Source organism: Homo sapiens, chromosome 5 (assembly GCF_000001405.40).
Source record: "Homo sapiens chromosome 5, GRCh38.p14 Primary Assembly".
NCBI classification, from domain to species: Eukaryota; Metazoa; Chordata; class Mammalia; order Primates; family Hominidae; genus Homo; species Homo sapiens.
In genome coordinates this window covers 10,961,711-10,987,543 of record NC_000005.10, presented here as the reverse complement: position 1 = coordinate 10,987,543, position 25,833 = coordinate 10,961,711, and the positions used below count along the sequence as shown (strand labels likewise).

Sequence of the window (25,833 nt, the reverse complement as noted above, 5' to 3'; positions counted from 1 at the left end):
CATATCCCAAAGAAGCTTCCTTAGAGCTGATGACTGCAGATTCCCTGGGGAGGCATTCATCTTTCACGCTCGTCATCCCTCACGATCTCAGTCACAGCCATTGCCTTCCTTTCTCATCAGCCAAGACTCTATGGAGGCCAGAATTGGTACAGTGGGTATCTGTCTCTGCCCCCTCCACTGTGCCATGCCCAGCCCATCTGATAACAGGGCTTACCCTTAAGTCACTGTATAGTCTGTACGTCTTGTACACTCTGTATATGCTTCTGTTGAGGCACTCACAGCCCCCTCCAAGCTCTCCATACCTCACCCTCTCCCTGGATGGCCCTCCTCCAAGAAGCAGGATGTGGGCTCTGGCTGTAGAGGGAGTTATACCTTAAAAGCAAAGCTGCCGGAGCCCTGAGGACCTTTCAACGGGGACCCCACATCCTCTTTACCACATGGGCATGGAGATGGGTCCCTGCTGAAAATAGGCTATGAGGAAGAGCCTTTAATAGAACAAGGCCATGTTAGAGCATTCATAAAGCTGGGGCGCAAAGGGCGCCGTGCAGACACTGAGACCCTCTTAGGAGAGGAATCTGAAGAGCAGGAGGCAGTTCTCCAGTAGTATTTAGGTGTAGACTGGCAGGGAAGCAGAGCAGACAAATTGGATGATTTATTAAAATGCCTTCCAAACCAGGACAGCGAAGATAAATTTTTCTAATAGCAAATGCATTTACCCCAGCGGCAGTGTTTTCCGTGTTAACTCTGCTCAGCTGCGTAAAGAAAACTATAATAAACGGATGTTTCTTATCCCTGCCCCCAGGAGCACATTCTGCCTCCATGTGCAGACCCTACAAGGGAACACCTCAGCGCTGCTCCTGAGACGTTTCCTGAACGGGAGAACCTAACTCATTACATGGACTCTAGGTTACTATTCACATTCACTGTTTCCCCTTACATGTTGCCGCGTAGATGAACAGGAACAAAGAAAGCTGTGAATCTGAATTCTGAGTCCCTGGAGTCTAGACATTCGGCAGAGGATCCCATTTGTACTGATTATGCTGAGCTAGTCATGACACCAAATTCAACTGACCCTTTCAATGTGCAGTTATCATTGCCCTGGGTAGCCACATCACCAGCTGTCTGGGATGATACACTGAGATTAAGGAACAGTTGTGAGATCGACTGCATTATTATTCAGTTTCATGTTTCTCTTTAACTCTCTTGCCCAAGAGAATCATTCAAAAGGCCTTCAGGTGTGGGTGTGCGTGTTTATGTCAAAACAGTTCCAATGGCACATAATTGTGCCCTGGACTCAAAATAAAATAAAACATAAAATTTACTATGTTTCTGATATTTAATCTTCTTAGAAAATGGCAGGGATCTTGACAATTTCAGTGTATGTAATTCTTCAAACTTATTTAGAGGCTTAAACAGCTTTGCTCTAACTTACTTAAAAATGCAATTCAGGAGTACACTCTCAATCATGTAGCAAGCCAGAAAGAACATTGAGATCTTTATTGAATATTATGTGTATATAGGGAAGTTCCTCTAAAGCCAATGGGTGCTATGTAAACGCCGATTGTTATTATCACAACAATGATGGTGGTGGTGGTGGTAGTGAGGGTGATGGAGGTGATGGTGGGATAGCAGAAGTGAGGATAGTGGTGGTTTGCCACTTTCAGTAGTGGTATGAATAAGTCCCCAGCCAAGCCAGGTGGAAGCCAGTCTTTCACATATTGATGGGGATATTGAGTTTACAACCCCCACCTTGCAGGATGTTAGCAAATGCCCATCATTCCAGGGTTTACTTGCAAAATCAGATTTCTTGTGGCCCCAACATCAAAAGCAATGCTTTTTCTTGTTCAAGAACAAATCTACGGAACATTTAAAGTTCAGTGCATTGAAAGATAACCTGAAAAACTGCCATCTTCCTTGTTTCATTCCCTGCCAAGAAAACATTCCCTCTGATATGAAAACCACAAGGGAAGCTTCATCCCCAAAATGCAGCCTATGAGGGCTGGAAGTGCAAACATCTCTTTGATGGAGCTGTCATCTCTTCTGCTGAGCTCTTAGAAGTTCAGATCCATCTAGGTGTTTATTCCAGGCTTCCCCCACCCTCCTTTTCTGGATTCATTTTCTAGCTTGGATGAAGCCTCATAAAATTCTTCTCTCCTAAGTGTTTCTCTGCCACTGGAGAGCCCTGAGAAATCCAGTTGGCTATTCATTCAGGCATGCCGGCTTCCATAGCGAGTTCTTGCAGCCCTGCATGCCTGGGAACCTCACGTGTTCAGTTCACCTCAAGAAAGGGCTGCAGCATCCCAGCAGCTCCACTGCCTGAGTTTTAAATTCACCTGGAGGTTTTCCCTTCCCATCTGAACTTCCCACATACCCTTTCATCCAATGGTCTGTTTGTTTTTTGTCAGTGTCTTTCTTATGCCATTTATTTATGTATTTATTTATTTATTTATTTATTTATTTATTTATTTTTGAGACGGAGTTTCACTGTGTCGCCCAGGCTGGAGTGCAGTGGCGCAATCTCAGCTCACTGTAACCTCCACCTCCCGGGTTCAAGCAATTCTCCTGCCTCAGCGTTTCGAGTAGCTGGGATTACAGGCACCTGCCACCATGCCCGGCTAATTTTTATATTTTTAGTAGAGACAGGGTTTAACCATGTTGGCCAGGCTGGTCTTGAACTCCTGACATCAAGTGATCTTCCCGCCTCATCCTCTCAAACTGCTGGGATTACAGGCATGAGCCACCACACCCGGCCTCTTATGCCTTTGAAAGTCGTTCTAGTCTTCAATGTGTTGATTCAGTTGGGAATTGGGTATTTGGGGGCTGTTAGAAAAATAGAAAGGCATTCTTCTGTGAGTCCACTATTAGCTCGGTCATATGAGGGCAGAGCCTCTGTGAATTCCTCTGCCTCACGTGTCTGTAAAGGTAATTCAGTCTCAGCTATGGTCTCGTTTAAACGAGTGAGGGGAAAGAACTTCCAGTATTAACATCCTAGGCTCAGAAGCCACAAACTGTGCCTCGTGCTTTTAAGATTCCTCTGGTGAGAGCGTCTCAGTGTCTGTTTATGATTTCACAACAGGGAGGGAGGCCAAGACTGCAATAGTGCAAACGTTCTAAAAAATATATGCATTTAATTCTGAGCAACAGAAAAAACAAAATTTCACCTTATTCCTCAAGTGACATTTTCTATCAGCAAATTATAGCTCTGAAGGCAGATCTATCTAAGGTTTACCCATTTATTCATTCAGCAAATGGGGCACTTACTCTATGGGTGTCCACTGAGGCCAGGTGCTGTGCCAGGTTCTGAGGATACATACGGAGGTAGCAGCAGGACAGACTGTTTCTCTCTCAAGGGCCTTCTGCTCTGGAAGAGGAAGGCAGACAGTACATAAGGTAAACAGTATAACAAGTTCCCAGCAAGATGATACTGCACTGTGTTTAGTAGGAAGAAGAAACTGATCAGGGTAATGAGATGGGGGTGCAGGCGGAAGGGGTTACTTCACTTGACGTGGGAGGAGGAGACATTTGAAGTCTGAGGGAAGCGAGTTCCAGGGAGAAAGATCAGCAAAGACAACCTCACCGAAGCTAAACAAGTTTGGCCCGCTCTGAGGAAGGAGGGTCGGCAAAGCTGGGACTCCTTTAACAGGAGGAGAGGAGGGAGAAATGTGTTAGGATTTTAGGCAGGAAACAAACCTTGCAGGGCCTCATGGCCATAGTGGAGAGCCGTCTCAGGGTGAAGGGCATTGGAGCATTACAAGCAGAGAAAGAGACAGAACCCAACTTGTGTTACAAAGACAGCATTCTAACTGTTGGTAACAGGGTGGATGGAGGAATCAGGCTGGGCAGAGTGGAAGTTGGGCCTTCGAGGAGGATTTGGTAGCAATGGTCCAGAGAGAGATGGTGGTTTGCACCATAATACAGAGACAGGAGTGACATGCATTCAACCAGAGAGGATAACAGAATGGTCTTTAAAATGGAAAAATGGACTTTCGGCTCTCACTTTCTAAGCTGAATTCTCCAGGAGGAATTTTATTGCACAGCTGTAGTGAACTCTTAGGTAAAAAATCATGGGTGGAGTGAACTTAGACCTTGAGAGGTTATACTGACCTTTCTCTTGTGGCCTATAGGTAGAGTGATCCTACTTCATTATCCCCTAAATACTGGAAGCAAACAATGAGCCCTTCCTAGTTTTAGAGTGTTTTATACCCCACTGACACAAGACAGCATTTTCCAAAGCTTTTTTAAAAAAAAATTTATGAATACATAATAGTTGTACTTACTTATGGGGTCCATGTGATTTTTTGATACAAGTATACAGTGTATAACAATCAAATAAGGGTAATGAGATACCATCACCTTAAACATTTATTATTTATGTTAGGAACATCCCAATTCCATTATTCTAGTTGTTCTGAAATATACAATAAATTACTGTGAATTATGGTTGCCCTATGGTGCTATGAAACACTAGATCTTTTCTCTTCTAACTGTATTTTTCTACCCATTAACCATCCCCTCTTATTCCTCTCTCCCAACTCCACTTCTCAGTCTCTGATAACCATCATTCTACTGTCCATCTTCATAGATCAATTTTTTTTAGCTTCCGCATATTCCACATGTGCGTGAGAACATACCATATTTGTCTTTCTGTGCCTGGCTTGTTTCACTTAACATAAATCACCTCCAGTTCCACCACGTTGCTGCAAGTGACAGGATTTCATTCTTTTTATGGCCAAACAGTACTCTATTGTGTACATATACCACATTTTCTTTAACCATTCATCTGTTGGTGGACACTTGGGTTGATTCCACATCTAGGCTATTGTCAACAGCACTGCAATAAACATGGGAATGCAGATATCTTTTGATACACTGATTTCCTTTCTTTCTAATATACACCCAGCAGTGGGATTGCTAGGTGATATGGTCATTCTACCAAAGATTTCTTGAACCATGACCCTTCAGCAGCTGTGAAGGGAGTGGTGGCCTGTGCCCTTCCTCTGAGTGGGTGGCTTGAGCTTCAAGGGTTTCCCATAAGGAAGTGGGCTAATAGGCCCCCTCTCTGGGCCTTCAGAAGCTGCTGGCAACTAGAGGAGACCTTCATCTCTTTCGTCTAGACGACAGGCAAGCCAGACAACAGAGTGGGATCCTCCCTCTGCATCTAGTTTGATTCCAAAGCCGCAGGCTTCCAGATACATGGGGGACATGCAGGCGATGCCCCCTGCCCGTCCTTTGGGTCTGTAAGAAATGAACTGTCTGAAAGATGATCAAGCACTTCTGTGAGCTCAAATTAGAAATTTTATTCTTGTCACTCTCCGGCTAAAAGCTAAGCTGCTGATACAGACTCCTGCATGCTTCAGTGCAGGTGACAAGCCTTTATTACCTGCCAGTTTTCACCAGAAAAGAAGGCCATAAAACTTACAAAATGACCATCTGTTTGCAGCATCTGCCCTGACCCTGTCTGTGATGTGAACATTATTGCAAGCGGCTGACATGCTGTGGGGATTTTCTAGAATAACTGTTCTCCTTTTTTAATATCTGTATGTAAAATGAAGTGTTCAGGGCCAAAGAATGTCTTCTACTTGGAATGGTCCCCAAGAAAACAAGCTTTGTTAGGGCAAGAACTTGCTTCAATAACAACTATTCCTTATTTGTAATGTTGTTTTCTTTGCTAAACTTTTGTTTTCCTTTTGCTTTTAGCTCAAAACACTGGAATTTCAACTTTGTATAGGAATTCTTATGGTGCGCCCGCTGAAGACATCAAACACAACCAGGTAAAGTAAATGCAACACGTTTGTATTTCCTTTTCAGTGTGACTCATGTGAAATAACCTGGAATTTTAAACATAAACTTTCATCCAACATACATAAAGAACTGAAAAAGAAGGCAACGTCCCCTGAGGCCCTCTCCTCACGCCTGTTGCAGCGTGTGTGTGTCTCTGTGTGTGTGTGTGTGTGTGTTGGACTCGGCAGAACAGCCTCAAATGTGCAAACGGCCTTTGAACCTCATGCTTGATCTGGTGCAGAAAGCAAGTATTCTGCTATGGTGCAAAACTAAAAGAAACCCCCAAATAGACAACTGTAAGATGTCACTAAACAGGAATTGTCTAATTACTGGACAGAGATGGAGTAGCTCCTGTAACCCTGCAAATGCATTAGGAAGGAAGCATTCATTATACATGATCACTACCAATAAAGGAGACACAGCAAGTTCAATAGAGAACTTGTAAAAGAACACATAAATAAGTTCTATTATTCTGCAATACATGAAATGCATTGTAGTGTCTTGCTACTCAAAGTCTAGTTGGGGAACCAGCAGCATCAATGTTACCCAGAATCTTGTTAGAAACACAGGAGAGATTCTTCTCTGGCTCCTAACCCTAACCCGTCCAAGATTTTCTGCAGCACAGTTGCATTCTAATTAGATGCGCTTGTGTGCACATTCAGGTTTGAGGAGAACTGAACAGTAGATTCTTTTTATTATTATTATTATTTTATTTTTATTATTATACTTTAAGTTCTGGGGTACATGTGCAGAATGTGCAGTTTTGGTACATAGGTATACACGTGCCACGGTGGTTTTCTGCACCCATCAACCCGACATCCAAATTAGGTATTTCTCCTAATGTTATCCCTCCCCTAGCCCCTGACCCCCAGCAGGCCCCAGTGTGTGATGTTCCCCTATGTCCATGTGTTCTCATTGTTCAACTCCCACTTATGAGTGAGAACATGCAGTGTTTGGTTTTCTGTTCTTGTGATAGTTTCCTGAGAATGATGTTTCCAGCTTCATCCATGTCCCTGCAAAGGACATGAACTCATCCTTTTTTTATGGCTGCATAGTATTCCATGGTATATATGTGCCACATTTTCTTTATCCAGTCTATCATTGATGGACATTTGGGTTGGTTCCAAGTGCTTGCTATTGTGAATAGAGTGCCACAATAAATGTACGTGTACATGTGTCTTTATAGTAGAATGATTTATAACCCTTTGGGTATATACCCAGTAATGGGATCACTGGGTCAAATGGTATTTCTGGTTCTAAATCCTTGAGGAATCGCCACACTGTCTTCCACAATGGTTGAACTAATTTACACTCCCACCAACAGTGTAAAAGCGTTCCTATTTCTCCACATCCTCTCCAGCATCTCGTTTCCTGACTTTTTAATGATCGCCATTCTGACTGGTGTGAGATGGTATCTCATTGTGGTTTTGATTTGCATTTCTCTGATGGCCAGTGATGAAGAGCATTTTTTCATATGTCTGTTGGCTGCATAAAAGTCTTCTTTTGAGAAGTGTCTGTTCATATCCTTTGCTCACTTTTTGATGGGTTTTTTTTTTCTTGTAAATTTGTTTAAGTTCTTTATAGATTCTGGATATTAGCCCTTCGTCAGATGGATAGATTGCAAAAAATTTCTCCCATTCTATAGTTGCCTGTTCACTCTGATGATAGTTTCTTTTGCCGTGCAGGAGCTCTTAATTTAATTAGATCCCATTTGTCGATTTTGACTTTTGTTGCCATTGCTTTTGGAGTTTTGGACATGAAGTCTTTGCCCATGCCTACATCCTGAATGGTATTGCCCAGGTTTTCTTCTATGATTCCTATGGTCCTGGGTCGTATGTTTAAGTCTTTGATACATCTTGAGTTGATTTTTGTATAAGGTGTAAGGAAGGGGTCCAGTTTCAGTTTTCTGCATATGGCTAGCTAGTTTTCCCAACAACATTTATTAAATAGGGAATCTTTTCCCCATTGCTTGTTTGTGTCAGGTTTGTCAAAGATCAGATGGTTGTAGATGTGTGGTGTTATTTCTAAGGCCTCTGTTCTATTCCTTTAGTCTATATATCTGAACAGTAGATTCTTAAGGAACCAATCTGAGAGAGAGAGAGAGAGTATATGTGTGTGTTACTCTGCAAACATTTATTGAAGGCTCATTTTCTCTGGCTCTGCAGGAACTATAAAAGCCAAAAGACACAGTTGTTCCCCCTCGTTGATCAGAAACTTCATACATCTCTCCTTCCCATGGTGGGCATCAGCCCACTCCATGTGCAGCACTCTGGAAAACATATGGTGTTGTCTGTGACCCCCTGGTGAATGGCTTGGCCCCCATGGCCTATTTGATGTGTTGCTAACATCTAATCAGCCTCCCCTCAGTTCTAGTATTTGCTAAAAGCAAAGAAGCCAATGACTAAATAAATAGGGTCATGAGCTGTAGACACCAGGTCACCAGGGAGGCCCCAACTATTCACTTGCCAACCTGCCTCCATAAAGGCAAACAGAAACAAAATGTATTAGAAATGCCAACTTCATTTATGGAAATCAATCATGCTTCTTGCAGCAAATATTATGAAATTCTGGATGTACAGTAAGCAGATTATTGCCAATTATTACAGATTCTTGTCAGGTTGTAATAGGACCATGATTTTGCCGCCAAGAGTGTGAGATTCATCTTGAGTCCCCTCAGGTAGAGAGAAGCTCCTCATTGGAACCAGCTCCCTCTGCACCAGCCTTCCTTCCCCGGGAGTTGGCATTGAAGAAACGCCCTGACATGGCCAGGGGTCTCTGGCATCTCACAGAGTGGCTGCAGTAGGTTCCAAAAGACTGCTTGCCATCTAGATTTAGAGGACAGTCTATAATGGCTCTAAGGGGCACCTTCTTTTTACGTAAGCAGATCCCGAGCATTTAAGCAAATGAGAATTAATGTGCTAAGATGGCATCCTTGCCATGAGTGTGAACACCACCTAGCCATAGCCTTTCTCCCAGAGGTCTCCAGAATGTGCTTGACTCAGTCTCAGAGTGAAACACCAAGGCCACTGGGCCTCAGGCAAATGTTGCTAAAATCCACCCTGGATGGAGAGCAAGCTCCGCATCTCTCGTCAGGACCGAGGCATTGCAGGCAAGCCCCCGGCAGAGCTGAGTCCTATCTTCATAGCTCAGGACCACCATCATTCCCTGTAAGGGACCAGCCAAGGGAAGTGGATAATTGGATCATTCTATCTTAGCCTAACATCCATTTTTAAACGTCCACCAAAGAGAGGGTTCCCCCCCCTCCCCAAAAAGTATTTCCAAGGAGATCATAATGACACTCCATTGAACTTGGAGAGGAAGGAAAGAAAGCATTTTACTTCTTTTAGACTATGTTATAGGAATAAACCTTGTCTTCACTTGCAGTTTTCTCTTTGGGGACTCAATAAAGTGCAACCATCCTAACCCTTCAAAAGACATGTTTTCACTCTCTTCCGGTTGGGAGTCCTAGAGAGGACTCATAAACAGTATCCCTGACTTGGATTCTCTGGCCATAGAGGTGTAACCAACCATTCTAGGTGGAATGCTTTCATGTTGGGAGCTTCCCTGGGCCAAAAGTTACCCCAGAACTTTGCGCCTGGAACAGTTTCACCAGGAGGGATCCTCCAGGGTTTGGTCAGTTTCAGCATCGAAGCTTGTCCTCTGCTGAGCGCTCCTGTCTCCCGGGTGGCTCAGTCACCAGCCAGGTCTCACAGGCTTCACACTGGGTAGTGACTGAGCTTATGGGGAAGCAATTCATGGAGGGAAATCAGTTTCAAGTGGATCTCCAAGATAAGGCAAAAGACAGTGAGAGCTGAGAAAGAGACGCCTGCACCAGACACATGGCCACACGTGGGTGCTGCTCCTGTGACCTGGGACTCAGGCACATTTTCAGTGAACTCTGAGCTTAAAGCCTCCTAGAAGAAACAATCAGTAGTATAAAACACAGTTCGTGATCTTTGGTTTGAATGTCTGAGGTCAACGGGTTACAGACATCACTTTAAGACTTAACTGACTAGGTGCAGTGGCTAATGCCTGTAATCCTAGCATTTTGGGAGGCCGAGGCAGGCAGATCGCTTGAGCTCAGGAGTTCAAGACCAGCTTGGGCAACATAGCAAAACTGTGTGTCTACAAAAAATACAAAAATTAGCTGGGCATGGTGGTGTGTGCCTGTAGTCCCAGCTAGCTGGGATGCTGAGGCAGGAGGAAGGCTTGAACCTGGAAGGTGGAGGCTACAGTGAGCCATAATTGCACTACTGCACTCCAGCCTGAGTGACAAAGCGAGACCCTGTCTCAAAAAAAAAAAAAGACTTAACTATGCATACTTTCCAAACATCCTTTTGAGCTTCTACCAGTCCACCCCATAATTACAAAGAGAAATATCATGTTGAACGGTATCTATCTAGCTGACAACAGGATTTTTGTTCAGGAACTAGAAACAAAGAGCTTTGCTGTTTTGATGACCAATATTTAAATGATAACAAAACCGGAATCTTGAGTTCCTTCCTGGTGTCCTTAGTTCCACTGTCACGTGAGCAGGCCAGTTGTAATTGTCTGCAGAAATGAGGAAGATGAGATCCCAGGAGGATACGTGTTTCCTTCAGTCCCCCAGCCAGGAAGAGGCAAATACTCATCTTGGTTCTTCTGTCTTCCTGTCCCATTTTTTTTACCTCTGTGCCAATGGTTCTCAAATTGGAGCATGAGCCAGAATTCCCCAAAGGGCTGTTAAAGCACAGATTGCTGGGGCCCATCGCCAGAGGCCCTGATTCAGTAGGTCTGGAGTGGGACCCAGTAATCTGCATTTCTAACAAGTTCCCAGGTGATGCTGATGCTGCTGGTCTTGGGATTATGCTTTGAAGACCACTGATACTTCATATCTGGCCTCCTTCATTTTCTGTGAACACTCTGAGTCTTTCTATGAACACTCTGAGACATGGAAAAGTTGGAAGAGCTATACTGGGCTACTATTTCCCTTGTGTTCAAAATAAATCCAGTTTCCTGGCAAATTCATTAAGGAATAAACCCAAAGAAGTCTTTTGTCATTATGCTAACAGAGTTGGAAGGTGTCATGACACTATCCTTCATAATTTAGAGTGAATATTCTACTGTTGAGGAAAAAGTTCAGCAAAGATGACTTGGTAGAAACAGAAGCCATGGAACAGAGCGCAGAGAGCGTGAGCATATTGACCCTGGAGTGAGCTGCTGGTCACCACCCCTTTCCAAAACAAGATGCAGCGTTAAGGCAAAGAAGGCAAAAGCTTCGGGCTTGCGTATTCCTGGGCTTCTCTAGACCGTAACAGACACCCAGATTCAGAAATCCCCTCTGCTCTATTGGGGCATCATTCTACATCCCTCATCCAAATCTGGCTGATGCAAACTGTGCAATTTTTAATGCATTTATTTTTAGCTCTTATGTGAGGAGGGCTTTGGGAGGGGTCATTTCATCAGCCAGATTTTCAACTGTCAGATATTCCCTTAAAGTTTAAAATGCAGCCAATATTCCTCCACTGTGGATGTGTTTCACCAGCAAACGTCCATACCACAAGAGCAAATACCACAAGACGTCCATACCACAAGAGCAAATACCACAAGATACCACAAGAGCAAATACCACAGAAATGTCCATACCACAAGAGCAAATACCACAGTGAGCAAATTCTGTCTCTCCGGGTGCAGCAGTGACACGTGTCACCTGTGACAGTTCATTTGTACACACTTTTGGGACTGGGGCACCAAACCTCAGAAGTGATTGGTGTGGGATTTTATGAACAGTACAGATGAATGAAGAAGTTAATTCTCTGGGGTAAGAGGCTGAAAAAGCTGATACCCAGCTCCCAAATGTTCACCAACCAGAGAGAACATGACAACAGTCAAAGCAATTTGAACGAGGTTGTGCAAAAGAACCAAAAAAATGAAAGCAGAAGCCACTTTGGAGGAGAGCTATAACCCTTGTGAGTGACTCCTCCTGAAGATGTCCCTGTCCCCTGCACTGCCTTCCCTGGCCCCCAAAAATCCATAAGAAAACACACCGCTTCTTGGTCTCTTTTGTCCACCGACTTTCTTATCTTAGAGCCTAGAGTCAGCTCCTTGAGGCCTGTCCTCCAAGGTTTGGCCACCTTGGCTCTGATGGGACTGGACTACGTTGGTAGAACACCTGGGTTTTAGAGTCAGCCAGCCGTATGTTCCAGTTCCAGTTCACAACACCACTAGCTATGACGTTTTGGAGAAGTTTCTTAACTTCTCTGTGCTTCAGTTTTCTCATCTATAAGGTGGGAGTTTGCTTGAGGGATGGATGGATGGATGGATTGGTGGGTGGATAGGAAGACAGACAGATGATAGATTATAGATATTGATGTAGACAGACACAAACACACATAAATATTTATGACTACTGGAGTATTAAAGAATTTGCTAAATGTTGAATAGGGTGCCCTGCTGAACAAGAAACACAGCAAATCTAGTTCCCTCCCTGTATAATTTTTCCAAACTTCTAGATTCTGAGCCTTTGCATGTCTTGCACTTGGAAAACAGCCCTGTGTTGGAGTGGAGTTCAGCAGCACACAAGCAGAGCTCTTCAAAGAATAGCAAAGGGCACCCCAACCTAGCAACGCAGTCCAGTAGACCTGGACTTAGCAGTATTTAATTGCAGATGTTGCACATTCATTCCAAATGTTCCTCTCATCCTTTGTTAGCTCTCAGGCTAACAAAGGTTTATCCTCTATGGACTTTTGGACTTCTGTAGGTAGACAGAAACCTCATTCATTCAGCTACCACTAACTAGACACGTGGGACATCCTAGACAGCTGCTGTGATGAAGTTCACCACTTCTTTGAAGATCAGGTTGATTACTAGTATAAATCAATGACATATATAAGAGGGAGTTTCACTTACTTGAGAGAAGAATTATGTGTAAGCCTTTAAAAGCATTCATTTACACACAACGTGCTAATTACAAATCATTATCTATTAACTAAGACCAATTTCTAGAGAACGTTTCCGTGCTGAACTTTAGTTAAATTAATAGGGAGTCACTGAGTCCACCCAAAAGTGATCAAACAGTATTTCTTTAAGAGTGTTTAATAATTCACACCAGATCTCCTCCCCAATTACTGCACATTAGCAGAGCTTTGTGCATCCCGGTATGCACTTGCTGTAGGGTTAACCTCACCCTATACCTTGGGAGGTTCTGCTCATTTCAGGGGCAGGTGCTTGAAAAGGGACCCCAGGGACTAGAACAGATACAAATGCACCAATGTTTATTGCAACATTATTTACAGCAGCTAAAAGGTAAAAATAACCCAAGCGTCCATCAATGGATGAATGGATAAATAAAATGTGGTCTATGCATACCATGGACTATTTTATTCTTATATATATACAATCATGGGGGTGCAAGTGCAGTTTTGCTACATTGAGGTAAAGTCATGGCCTTCAGTGCATTCATCAGTGGAGCAATGCACATCATACAGTGGAATATTATTCAGCCACAAAAACGGATCAAGGTCTGCCATGTGCAACACCATGGATGGACCATGCAAACTTTATGCTAAGTGAAAGAAGCCAGTCACACAAGGACAAACACTCTCTGCAGTGCCTATATTAGGCAGATTTCTAGAGACAGAAAGTAGAATGGTGCTTGCCATGGGCTGAGAGAGAGGGGATGAGGAATTACATTTAATGGGCACAGAGTTTCTGTTTGGGATGATTTAAAAAGTGGTGGAAACGGATGGTGGTGATGGTTGCACAACACTGTGAATGTTCTTAATGCCACCTAATTAATCTTACACTTCAACATTTCTTAAAGCAAGCTGTTTTATGTTATGTATATTTTGCCATGATAAAGATTATGTAGAATGATAGCACGTGGACCTAGGATCCAATTTTCAAAAGGAAAGCCAATGACAGTTGGCAGTTTTGGAGAAGCAGGGCCACAGTGGTGAATGCCTGGATATACACAGCCTATTCTTTGAAGGAGAGTTGGGTGCCGGGGCAAGAGGCAGGCTGAGTCAAGGGAAACCAAGTAACCCAGTGTGGCTCTTCTTTCCCGTTTAGGTTTCAGCACAGCCAGTCCCACAGGAGCCCAGCAGAAAAGATTACGAGACCTACCAGCCATTTCAGAATTCCACAAGAAATTACGATGAGTCCTTCTTCGAGGACCAGGTCCACCATCGCCCTCCCGCCAGCGAGTACACCATGCACCTGGGTCTCAAGTCCACCGGCAACTACGTTGACTTCTACTCAGCTGCCCGTCCCTACAGTGAACTGAACTATGAAACGAGCCACTACCCGGCCTCCCCCGACTCCTGGGTGTGAGGAGCAGGGCACAGGCGCTCCGGGAACAGTGCATGTGCATGCATACCACAAGACATTTCTTTCTGTTTTGTTTTTTTCTCCTGCAAATTTAGTTTGTTAAAGCCTGTTCCATAGGAAGGCTGTGATAACCAGTAAGGAAATATTAAGAGCTATTTTAGAAAGCTAAATGAATCGCAAGTTAACTTGGAAATCAGTAGAAAGCTAAAGTGATCCTAAATATGACAGTGGGCAGCACCTTTCTAGCGTGAGCTGTAGAGTAACGAGAAGTGCTTTATACTGAACGTGGTTGATGGGAGGAGAGACGAGGCATTCGGGCCGGTGGGGCGTAAGGGTTATCGTTAAGCACAAGACACAGAATAGTTTACACACTGTGTGGGGGACGGCTTCTCACGCTTTGTTTACTCTCTTCATCCGTTGTGACTCTAGGCTTCAGGTTGCATTGGGGTTCCTCTGTACAGCAAGATGTTTCTTGCCTTTTGTTAATGCATTGTTGTAAAGTATTTGATGTACATTACAGATTAAAGAAGAAAAGCGCGTTGTGTATATTACACCAATGCCGCCGTGTTTCCTCATCTATGGTTCTAAATATTGCTTCAATTTCAAACTTTTGAAAGATGTATGGATTTCCAGTTTTTCTTTACTTTCTCCCAGTATGTTTTAACAAAAAAAAAAAAAAGCAGGAAAAAAGGAATATTTAGCAGTATTGTTCGTTCTGATATGTGAATTTGTTTGTGACAACTAAACAAGGCATTCAGCAGTTTCTGACAATTAACATACATCATTCCACACTCCTTGTCAACAAAGTGCTTTTTCACTGCCTAAAATTTTAGATGTAGATATTTGAAATAGATTTTTTCATTTATACCAGTTTTCTTTATGATGATACAGTGTTAAAAGAAAATAAATTACAATTGATCTGTCATCCATATTTGCTAAGAATGTCTATTTCCAAGAACCTATATCTTACAAAATACACATTCTTGCTTGTGTGTCTGTGTGTGTGGGTGTATGTATGTCCACGTACTAGAAAAATTACCTGTGTGAGATTTTATTTTGACAGAAGCTATTTCATTTGCTGTTCATCTTGTACAAACTTTGTTTTTGGTTTTTTAGTATAAATGTACATCAGTTTGTTCCTTTTGTACTGTATCTATTCTTCTGACCATCTAGTGACTCAGGATATTAGGCCAGTTGAAGTGGAGTTATAGGATTTTCACACATTCACGCATACTTGGATATCAACCCTCTCTACAGGTCCGTTTCCTTACACATTTTATCCCCTCAGAACACGATAAACCATGGCCAATTCAGTTTCACTTTGGGGCCAATTACTTGAAGTATCCACAGAAAATGTAAACTGCTCGCCTTATTCCCCCAAACTTTTTGTTCATGTGGCAGGGAGCAGTACACAACTATGGAATAGATTATTAAAACTGAACTTGAAGCTAACGTTAGAATAGTGGTTAACAGAGCTAAGAAATAAGGCTAACCATCGAAAAGAACATGGGCCGCGGGTAAACTAGCTTTGCTCTTTAGATGCAAGTGGCTGAGGCCAATAGGTGCCTAGTAAATGTTAACTGTTCTTGGAAAAAATAAAAACATCAGTAACAAAAGAAATTGGCTGCCATCGTCCTTTAAAACTGGCTTCCCTTCACGCTACATAGTTTAATTCAGCTCCAAGTCTCAAGTAAATGGTTCTTTCTCCAAATTTAACAACAATCAAATGATGATAGTCAATTCACGCATAGTTTTGGAAATGAAAAGTTAACTTTCAGAATAGAGCAGTAGACAGAAATGTATGTGTGAATTATGTACTAGTTGGACATACAGGACTCCACATTTCTGGATTCCCTCACAGGAATGCTTCAGACCCTCTAGAGAGAGAGAAACATGGCACATTGAAGACAGGGTTTCCACTTCATCTGTATCATACAATGCAACAGTAAAGAGAATGTGATATGGACATGACTTCCCTATAACATAAGGGCTGGCTTAACCTTTCCAGAAGAAAGCAATAGGACTCATTCTCTGGTTGGAGTTGTGCCACAGAATTAATGTGCTATGGAATTCCTCCTCCTAGTAGAAACCGTATATTTTCTTTATGATTTTTGAGTCTTAATGCATGCCCTACATTTGCGACTCATGAAGACCAAGGATGTCTTTGCATCCCATAATTCTTTGAGAGCACATTGTGCCAGGCTGTGATTAGCTGACTCAGCTAGGAGCCTCCAGCATCAGAAGGAGAGATAGTGGGAAAAATTTAAAAGTGTTTGTAATTATTCAAGCCAATCCATTTTTCCTTTTTAGGCACATATACAAATAGATTGAGGATAGATATAGACAGAGAGAGAGAGAGAGAGATGACAGATAATACATAGCTATAGATAGATGATAGATGGTGGATGGATAGGTAGATGGAGGTAGGTAAGTCAATAGATGGGGTCTTACTTGAACTATGAAATAGCCTAAAGCCCCCACAGGTTCCCTTGGCAAAGAAGGTTGGTCAGCCAGTGATTTATTGTTTGTAACATGGGATGTATTGGATAAAAGCCCCAAGTGACAAGAAACCTTTGTTTTGGCTTTGATTGTCCTGAAAGTAAGTAAGGCCCCCTCCCACAAGTGGCTGTGTCTTGCATCTACAAGAGCCTCCAGACCCTGAATTTTCCTACAGAAATGGGAATGGTGTTTTTCAGAGGAAAGAGGGGAAGCGAGGAAATTTCTTTTTCTGTTCAGTCCCTATGGTAGACCATAAAAACCCAATGCACTTAATAAGATGTACAACACAGACCCCCTTTTTTTTTTGTTCTTGAGGGTATTGGTCACCAGGGACTGATTAAGAAACAGTCCCTATACCATTATACCATTATGGATAATAGTAGCATTTAACAATAAGATCTTTTTATTATCACACATTAATGTTATGATCCTCATTAAGAGTTGTGCATTAGACAATAAAATATCAGGTTTAGAAGAATCAGGGTGACATAAGATGTCACATTGTATTTGGAGCTAACCTAAGTGAAGGTTAACCAATGATGACCCATTTCATATTAATGAGACTCGTGCATTATGGAAAGCTGCTGTTTAAAAAAGCAGTGTTTAAACTCAGTAGGAAAAACAAACAAAAAACCTCAGTGTATTTGGTATGTCTTGTTTCTCTTCAGCTCCTTTTTAATGTCTGATACTGTCCCCTTCGTCTCTGAGAACCGTGCCCCCGAGAAGTGAGGTCTGACTGTCTGAAGATACAGTATTCTCACTCACACGGCAACAGGGAAATGAACATGGCTCTTGTCTGACAAAATGCTGTTTACAAAAGTATTCATCCAGGCTGTTGGGGTCTCTTACCTACCAAATAGAACACTCCAGGCGCCTCAGCTCACCTCCACCTCAGACGGCAGGAGAAGAAAGGCTGCGGCCAGTCGGTTCACAGAAACCTGACCTTTATCTCAAGACCAAAGGAACCTCTGTGTGACAAAGAGAAAAAAATAAGCCAGCAATCAGGGGAGCCCATGGAGTGCTTTAGAGATCTGCACATCACAGGCTGGAGGCTGCTGACATGCCGGAGACTGCTGACATGTTGCAGGATTTTCCATGGCAACGTTTCCTGTAAGGCCCCATGGCTCCACTCCCCATCTGACATTTCATTTCTACACTGTGGTCGAAATGAGATTATAATAGAAACTCATGCCGGGTAACCATCTCATCAAGACCAAACTGACCTTCCTATCAGCAGCCTTGTATCCCTGGGTCTCTCTAAAATCCCCAAATCTCCAAAACCAAAAAAACACTCTGTAATGCACTTGGTAGCAAAAGCTCACCTGAACAAACTCCAAGCTATGAATGGTCTTTGTTTCTCCGACCTCATGAGACTCCTCCGATGTTTCTCACACATGGTGCATTTGACTACCAGGTCCTGCCCAGACTCTGCTGAGCTTGTTATGGACTTTGTGGTGCACACCCAAATTACCTTCTAAAATCAGAAAATTTCTTAGTTCAGTTTGCCCCAAGGGATTCACACAGATGAGCTTGTACCCAAGTGCTTAATAAGAGAACTGGACTTATGAGTTACCAAAGCCTGGTTCGGCTCTCAGAACCAGTTCCCTTCCTGTGGTGCATTTCAGATCAGAATCTACATTAAAGTGTGCTGGTCTCCATCCTGCGGAGAGGTCCCTGTGGGCAAGAGAGCCTCGTGCACACCACCTCATCGCAAGGCAACATACCGCTTTGTAACCTGTAGGTACATAGGAATGAGACTTCTGGGTGTCCTCGACAATGCTTGGCTGTACAAAGCAAAGAGACCAAGATCTCCAGTTGCTTGCAAACAACAACTAGAATACACCCAAGCAGGGGACCCATTAATGTTTTTTCCAGACAGAAGGTTTCTAATACAGCCCCTGTCGCAATACCCAGTTCCAAACTAGCAAATCAGGCACTTGACCCTCCGTCTCTTCATCAGTTCCATCATAAGTAACTTGTCTGCCCCTAAAGCTCATCAGCCACGAAGGATAGAGAAGAAATAAGACCCACCCCCAACTCCCTAAGCACACTAGGTAATTAATAACGAAAGTGGAGTTTTAACTCAAGTTTGGGCCTGTAAGACAATGGAATTCTCCACATAAACTTCAACAATAACCACATAAAAATCACACATTTTTAAACTTTACAATATTTGATTGCTCAGTTTCTCAATAAAATGAAGACATTATGAAGCACCTGGTTCTCTGTACTGGAACTTGCATGCATGACAAAGACATAACCCCAGGGTGGTGAGGACAACAATCTCAGAGAAAATACAAGATAAACATACTGCTCTACTGCAGGGCTTCTCGGCCAGTGCATTACTGATTTTTGGGCTGAATAATTGTCTGGGGGTGGTGTGAAATGCTTTCCTATGCATTCTAGGATATTTATCAACATCCTTGGCCTCTACCCACTTGATGCTTACAGCACCACCATCTGCAGCTGTGACAATCAAAACCATCTCCAGGTATAAGCAAATGTCCCCAGGGGGCAAAATCGGCCCCAGTTGAGAACCACTACTCTAGTGTGATGCACGATACGCTAACCACTACTGAGTTAAAGGAAGGGAAAAGATGCACTCCTAGCTGAGTGATCTGAGGAATACGAGACAGCAGAGATGGTGTTTGGCAAGAACGTAAGGAGTGGAGAGGCTTCCAATGAGCAATGATGAGGGTGCTTCAGGAAAAAGAAACAAGTGAAGGAGAAGATGGAGGAAGGATAGGGAATGAACAGAGAACAATTTGCAATACATTTCACTCCAAAATTAGGAGTAGGAGGAGGATGGAGCGAGAGAGAAACCCACTAGGGACAAAGTTTGAGGCCCTTGAAAGCTCTATTGTGACAGGTGTGGTAGCGTGTGCCTGTAGTCCCAGCTACTGGGGAGGCTGAGGTGAGAGAATCACTTGAGTCCTGGAGGTGGAGATTAGCCTAAGCAACATAGTGAGATCCTGTCTCTAAATAAATAAATAAATAAATAAACAAACAGACAAAAAGAAGAAAGCCATATTGCAGAAACACTACAAAAAAATTTTACAACATTGTTGCAAAGATTCTGGGGTGTGGGTGTGTGTGATGGTTGTAAAGGTAAGATCTAGATAAGTGAGTCTCAGACTTCAGCATCCATTAGAATCACCTGGAGTACATCACCTGGATGGCTTATTCAGAGAGTTTCTGATTGGGTAGGACTGGAACTGGCTAAGAATTTGCATTTCCAAGATGTTTCCAAGCGATGTTAATGTTGCTTGTCTGGGGGCCATATGTTGAGAACCACTGGTTTAGGGAGAATCACTTCTGAGGCTGTTGTAATAATTAACCTAGAACCTCGTTACTCAAAGTGTAGTCCGGGGATTAGCAGCATCAGCATCGGCTGGTAGCTCACTAGAAATGCAGACTATTGGGTCCCACACCAGAATCTGCATTATCAAAAGGTGATTTTTTGGAACATTAAAGTTTGACAGCCATGATCCAAAAAACACATAAGCGTCTGAGCTAAAAGAATGACAGTCAAGAGAAATAAAACTAATGTGAAATACTGTAGAAATAAAATTAGTAGACCTTGGCTACTGCTCAGTGAAGGATGGAGGTACCCAAAGATCCCTCTGAGGTGTGAGCCTAGGTAACCAGAAGTCCAGCACATATTATAACCACATAAAAATGTGTGATTTTTATGTAGTTATTGTTGAAGTTTATGTCAAGAATTCCATTGTCTTACTAAGGCCCAAACTTGACTTAAAACTCCACTTTCTTTATTACCTAGTGTGCTTAGGGAGTTGGGGGTGGGTCTTATTTCTTCCTTATCCTTCGTGGCTGATGAGGCTTTAGGTGTAGACAAGTTACTTATGATGGAACTGATGAAGAGACGGAAGGTCAAGTGCCTGCTTTGCTAGTTGAGTTTCTACTCATCCATGACAAGGAGGAAAAACTTTTCCAGCGAGGAAAATCCACTTGGTTTTGGACATGTGAAGTTGCCCATGCTGATGGCAATTACAGAGGGCGGTGGGATGTGCAAATGGTACTTTGAACTAGAGATGTGGAATTGGGTGTCTCTTTGAGGTTAAAAGCTGGAAAGTGGGTGTGGACAGAGCATCCATGAAAAAGAAGATTTGGAGAAAAGAGAGTCCCAGCATGATGAGAACCCCTGGGGAAGCAGCGTGAGGCAGAAGAAGACTGAGGAGAAAGCCAGGTGGGGTGGAGGCGGGAAGAATGAGACCAGTGTACTTTATCCAAACCAGGGAAGGACAGCATTTCACGTGCAGAGAGCAGCAAATGCCACTGGTGGGCACAGAGGATGACAAGAAGAAAAATGGCCGAAAACAAACCTTTGCACATTGCAATGTGCAGACTGCGCAGGACTTTCGGGAGTAGCTCCGGAAGCAGGTGAGGGTGAGTGAACGGGAGGTAGGAGGCTGAGGCAGTGAAAAGTTTGGGAATGGGCTAGCAATTGAGCTGAGACCCTGGGCTGGGACAATCACATAAGGAATGAAGAACTATTTTAGGACAGCAAAATAAACTTTTAAACCAAGGCAAAGGTAATTCATGCTTGTGCAAATGGTTTAGAAACAACCCCTTCTATTTGTATGGTATTGTATTGCCTTCATTGTATTTTAACATTTGTTCTCCTTGTCCTGCTCACTACTAGTATCCTCAGCCTTGCTTTCTTTTAGCAAAGGGGAATAAGGGCCAGGCACGGTGGCTCACACCTGTAACCCCAGCACTTTGGGAGGCCGAGGCAGGCAGATCACCTGAGGTCGGGAGTTTGAGACCAGCCTGACCAACATGGAGAAACCCCATCTCTACTAAAAATACAAAATTAGTGGGGCGTGGTGGCGCATGCCTGTAATCCCAGCTACTCGGGAGGCTGAGGCAGGAGAATCACTTGAACCCAGGAGGCGGAGTTTGCGGTGAGCCAAGATTGTGCCATTGCACTCCAGCCTGGCAACAAGAGCAAAATTTTGTCTCAAAAAAAAATGGGGGGAAGGGGAAGATGCTGTGATATCATGCAGCTGAATATAAAATTTTGCAGCTGGATATTCAACTGGGGCTTTTCTGCTCAAGAGATGATTACGAGTGTGCCAAGCAAAGGGGACATAAAGAGGAAAAAGTCTAATTCAGTCTAATTTTTCAGGGTCCACCCTTTACTCAGCACCATGACATCCACACAGGGCAACATGGAATAAGTCTGATCCTTAGCTCTGTGAGTTTGGGTGTCTATTGCTGTTCACCATGCAGCCGACACCACCAGTACCTGCCACATCAATTACTGATCTCTCTTCTAGACTTTCATCCTTACTACCCCATTACAACCCCATCTGCTCCAGGCTACTTATCCTCACTTCTCATATGATCAGTCTACCAGAAGCCTGGCCCTTGATGGAACCGACACTATGTTTTTGTTCAGAGTTCTCATCACAGCTTCCATTACTCGCTCGCTCAGCAGAGAAGCCAGGTGCCTATTTCCTAATGGCTGCAAGGATTCTTCATGCCTCATAATTGCAAGCAGACATCTGTGAGATAACCACACAGTTAAGTCATGGAGCAGGGGAAAGTAAACTGGCCTTTGTGGGAATTACACCCAAACCATCGGCCACATTAAGACTGCATGTGCACACCTGAGCTAACCTGTCATCAATGGAAACACTATCCCATTTCTACTACCTGAATATACAGCCAACTCTTAATTATCAAAGACAGAGTTGAAAATCACACACGTACAGAATTTAAACTAGACTAATTCTGATTTTCTATTGCTCTGTAACAAACTGCTTCAAAAGTTGTGCTTTAAAGAAAGAAAAAGAGAGAGAGAAACACTTACTTTGTTCAAGACTTTGTAACCTGGATTGTACTCCACTGGGACAACTCAGCTGTGCTGCACTCAGAGTCAGCTGCGGAGGCACGGGGCTGAAAGCTGGACTCACTTAAAGGCTCAATCACTTAGCTGTCTGGCACTTGGGCTGGGAAGACTCAAGTAGCTGGTACAGGGACAGCTGTGGCTCCTCAGGCGTCCTCTGAGCTCGCTCCACCAGGTCTCTCCAGCAGGGATGCTTCAGGGCAGCCAAACTTCTTACATATTATCTCAAAGCTCCCAAAACCCATATCCCAAGGCAAAAAGCCAGGCGCAAAAGTCGGGATGCATTCCATCAGTCAATGCAGCGGCAAAATAATGCTCAGTTTCAGGGGATGGGGTGGGAAACAGACTGTGTTTCTTGATGGAAGAGTGGCAAGATTCTGGAAGAGCCTGTGGGATAGAAATACTACAGTGGCCTTTTTGGTACAATCTACCACAAAGCTTGTAACATTTTGCAGCAATGGGTTCAGCTTCCTCTTTCAAACATTTAGCCAATATTTCTTAATAATGGCAAAAATGATGAGTTTTGCTAGAAGAAGTGAAAAACAAATAATGTAACTAACGTAAATGTGAGCGGAGAAAAGGTTTTGGATCCTGAGTTTTTATTTTCCTCCAGCTGAATGAGAAGGAAGCATTCAGCCACTGTTGTTCCTGGCAGCCATCTTATGACCATGAGGAGCCCAATTAGGCTAAAGCCAAAGTGGAGGAGAGCAGAACAGGAGATAGAAATAACCTGGCTCTCTTCTAAGAGCACTAAAAAGCACCAATCACAAGAATATTCCACAACAGGCAATGGTCAAGTACTCACGATCACATTATAGAGACCCTTCCTGCCCACTCCTAGGAAGTAACAGAAGCCTGGACCGATGGAAGCAATCTCAACACAAAACCCAGTTAAGTACTCATATTGTCATTTTATTATAAAAAGAACATACTTTTCTGAAAAGTTAGGAAAATATAATTACTTTTTTAAAACTCAATGCCAATTTTGGTAAGCAGAAAAGTGTTCCATAGACACTTTCTGTAGTTACCATCCTGATATATCTTATTCATTCAACCACCAGTAAAATATGCTGCAGATTTACAACTGAAAGCATTTGAAATTGTATTATTGCCTCAATACACTATTAAGAGCAATTTCAGGTTCTTAAGTAATTATGTTCTTCATGTGTTCACAATGTATAACCAATGAGAACAATCATTGAAAGATGATCAAATTGTTGAAACAACTAAGGAATAACACACAGGCTAGGAAACTGAGCAATGATACGTCTTTCTTCTGAGTCGGGCTTTGAGAATACTGTTTCCAAATGGGAATGCCTCCAAAATGCAAGGCCCTTTATCGCTTCCTTTTCTGCTAACACACGCCACCTAAATTACCAATGCAATGTAACTGCCTGCTCTGTTTCCACAACTCCCAGTCCCATACCTTCTAAGGGGAGCTCTTTGCCACTAATCCTTGGGCCCTGTTAAAAATAAAGAGCATTCGCAGCAAATGAAACATGGCCCAGATGAATGCCGCCAGCTTTCAATAGCCAGACACTCGGCATTACAGGTGCAATAATCAACCTGCCAACAACTGCTTCACTGGTCCAGGCACACTCCTGAGCTCCATTAGAGAGGTATCCCAACCAGATTTTCTGTTCACTCAAGACCCAAGATTCTGAAGGGCAGCTTTACTTACTTTCCTAAGAATTTCTAATCCGTAAAAAACTAAAGCCACTGGCCAAGATACACCTGACCCCAGAGTGTGCTAATGACAAGGAGACTGTTCTATCCCCCCCAGGAGGAGATGACTGTGCAAACTGTGTGATGAAACGGCCATGAATGGAAAAGGAAATGGTGTTTTTAAATGCTTCTATTTTGTTTTAGACTGTTCCAGAGATGTCTAAAAAGTCAGAAAGGAGATTGGCAGTCCCTTTTAGGTAGAAATTCAAAGTCGCTAGGTTATCGTACCTGCACTAGGTAATCGTAAGCAATTTATTTATGCAATTAACTTTGACCCTAGCAAAGGTTTAAAGGTAGAACTGACCAGAGGACGTGGTAAAGAAAGTCATTTTGTCAGGTCCACTCTTACAGCAAATGTCAGGCCCAGGGTCAGGTTCTAGCCCATGCTGAGGTCTGAGAGGAGTGGGTAGGTGGCAGATAGCTGAAAGAACACTTGGAGGGCCGTAGGTGGGTGAAATGTAGTTTTATTCAGTAGCTCTTTCATCAGCAGCTTACTCACTCTAGCTCTCTCTTGCACTGTCCACCCTTATCTTGGCCGTCTGCTCCAGCTCTGTGGCTCCTCTCAGCAGCTGGCTCCACAGCCCCTGCCGCCCCCACACCTACAGCTGCACTCCTTTACCTACAAGGCCAGCTCTCCCTTACAGGTGTCAGTAGCATTACTCTCTCTCTCTCTGGGTATGAGAGCCAAGCAGCATGTATCAGCATCAGCAGGGCAGTTATACCCTTTACAGATAATAGTGGCATACGGCCGGGCACGGTGGCTCACGCCTGTAATCCCAGCACTTTGGGAGGCTGAGGCAGGTGGATCACCTGAGGTCAGGAGTTTGAGACCAGCCTGACCAACATGGTGAAACCCCATCTCTACTAAAAATACAAAAAATTAGATGGGCGTGGTGGCACACACCTGTAGTTCCAGCTAGTCAGGAGGCTGAGGCAGGAGAATCGCTTGAACCTGGGAGGCAGAGGTTATAGTGAGCTGAAATTGCACCATTGCACTCCAGCCCGGGCAATGAGAAAGTGAAACTCCATCTCAAAAAAAAAGACAATAGTGGCATAGAGCCAAGTATGAGCTTACACAAACAGGTTATGTAACAAGTGGAGGTGTGCACCTGCGTACCAGTCCCGCTGAGTCATGCAGGCCTGGATGTCTGCCTCGGCCTAATTCTTGACCAAAGTACGTCCATGTACCTTACAGATTAAAAAAATAATTTAATAGAAATAGAGTAAGAAAACTTCCTGTCTTGTTAATATGAAAGCATAGCTAGTGTTTCACTGAATTTGAGTGAAATAACCTCAATTTTTTTTTTTTTTTTTTTGAGATGGAGTTTTGCTCTTGTTGCCCAGGCTGGAGTGCAATGGCACGATCTTGGCTTACCACAACCTCTACCTCCCGGGTTCAAGCAATTCTCCTGCCTCAGCCTCCCAAGTAGCTGGGATTACAGGCATGCATCACCATGCCCAGCTAATTTGTATTTTTAGTAGAGATGGGGTTTCGCCATGTTGGCCAGGCTGGTCTCGAACTCCTGATCTTGTGATCTACCCACCTTGGCCTCCCAGAGTGCTGGGATTACAGGTGTAAGCCACCACACCCGACCTCCAACTTTCTTTTGTTATAAATGTGTCCCGTGCAATATTTGTAACATACTAAA

The 25,833-nt window shown here is 43.4% G+C and overlaps 1 protein-coding gene and 1 long non-coding RNA gene across 13 annotated transcripts in view, besides 1 other annotated feature; one reads left to right on the top strand and one right to left on the bottom strand.

The window, feature by feature from the left end:
* Positions 1-15,708, top strand: part of CTNND2 (catenin delta 2) — a 932,611-nt gene extending 916,903 nt beyond the window's left edge. For 9 of the 12 annotated variants that reach the window (XM_017009074.2, XM_017009072.2, NM_001288717.2 and 6 more), the window contains 2 exons: positions 5,698-5,771; positions 13,831-15,708. In XM_017009074.2, coding sequence (XP_016864563.1) covers positions 5,698-5,771; positions 13,831-14,091 — 335 coding nt within the window. In that variant the 3' untranslated portion in view covers positions 14,092-15,708. Of the gene's footprint in view, positions 1-802; positions 907-5,697; positions 5,772-13,830 lie in introns of all 12 variants that reach the window. The other 3 variants (NM_001288716.1, NM_001288715.1, NR_109988.2) reach the window with 2 other exon arrangements.
* On the bottom strand, positions 21-22,839 carry LOC105374654 (uncharacterized). The gene is made up of 4 exons (XR_925791.3): positions 22,424-22,839; positions 17,437-17,555; positions 3,262-3,361; positions 21-128 (listed from the first exon to the last, which is right to left on the bottom strand). It is a non-coding gene; the product is annotated as an uncharacterized LOC105374654 (long non-coding RNA).
* Positions 25,130-25,339: an enhancer, noted in NCBI's record as "active region_22383". NCBI's record gives its function as "activates an Ori minimal core promoter by ATAC-STARR-seq in GM12878 lymphoblastoid cells {active_cell/tissue: GM12878}" and the evidence as "EXISTENCE:reporter gene assay evidence [ECO:0000049][PMID:35858748]".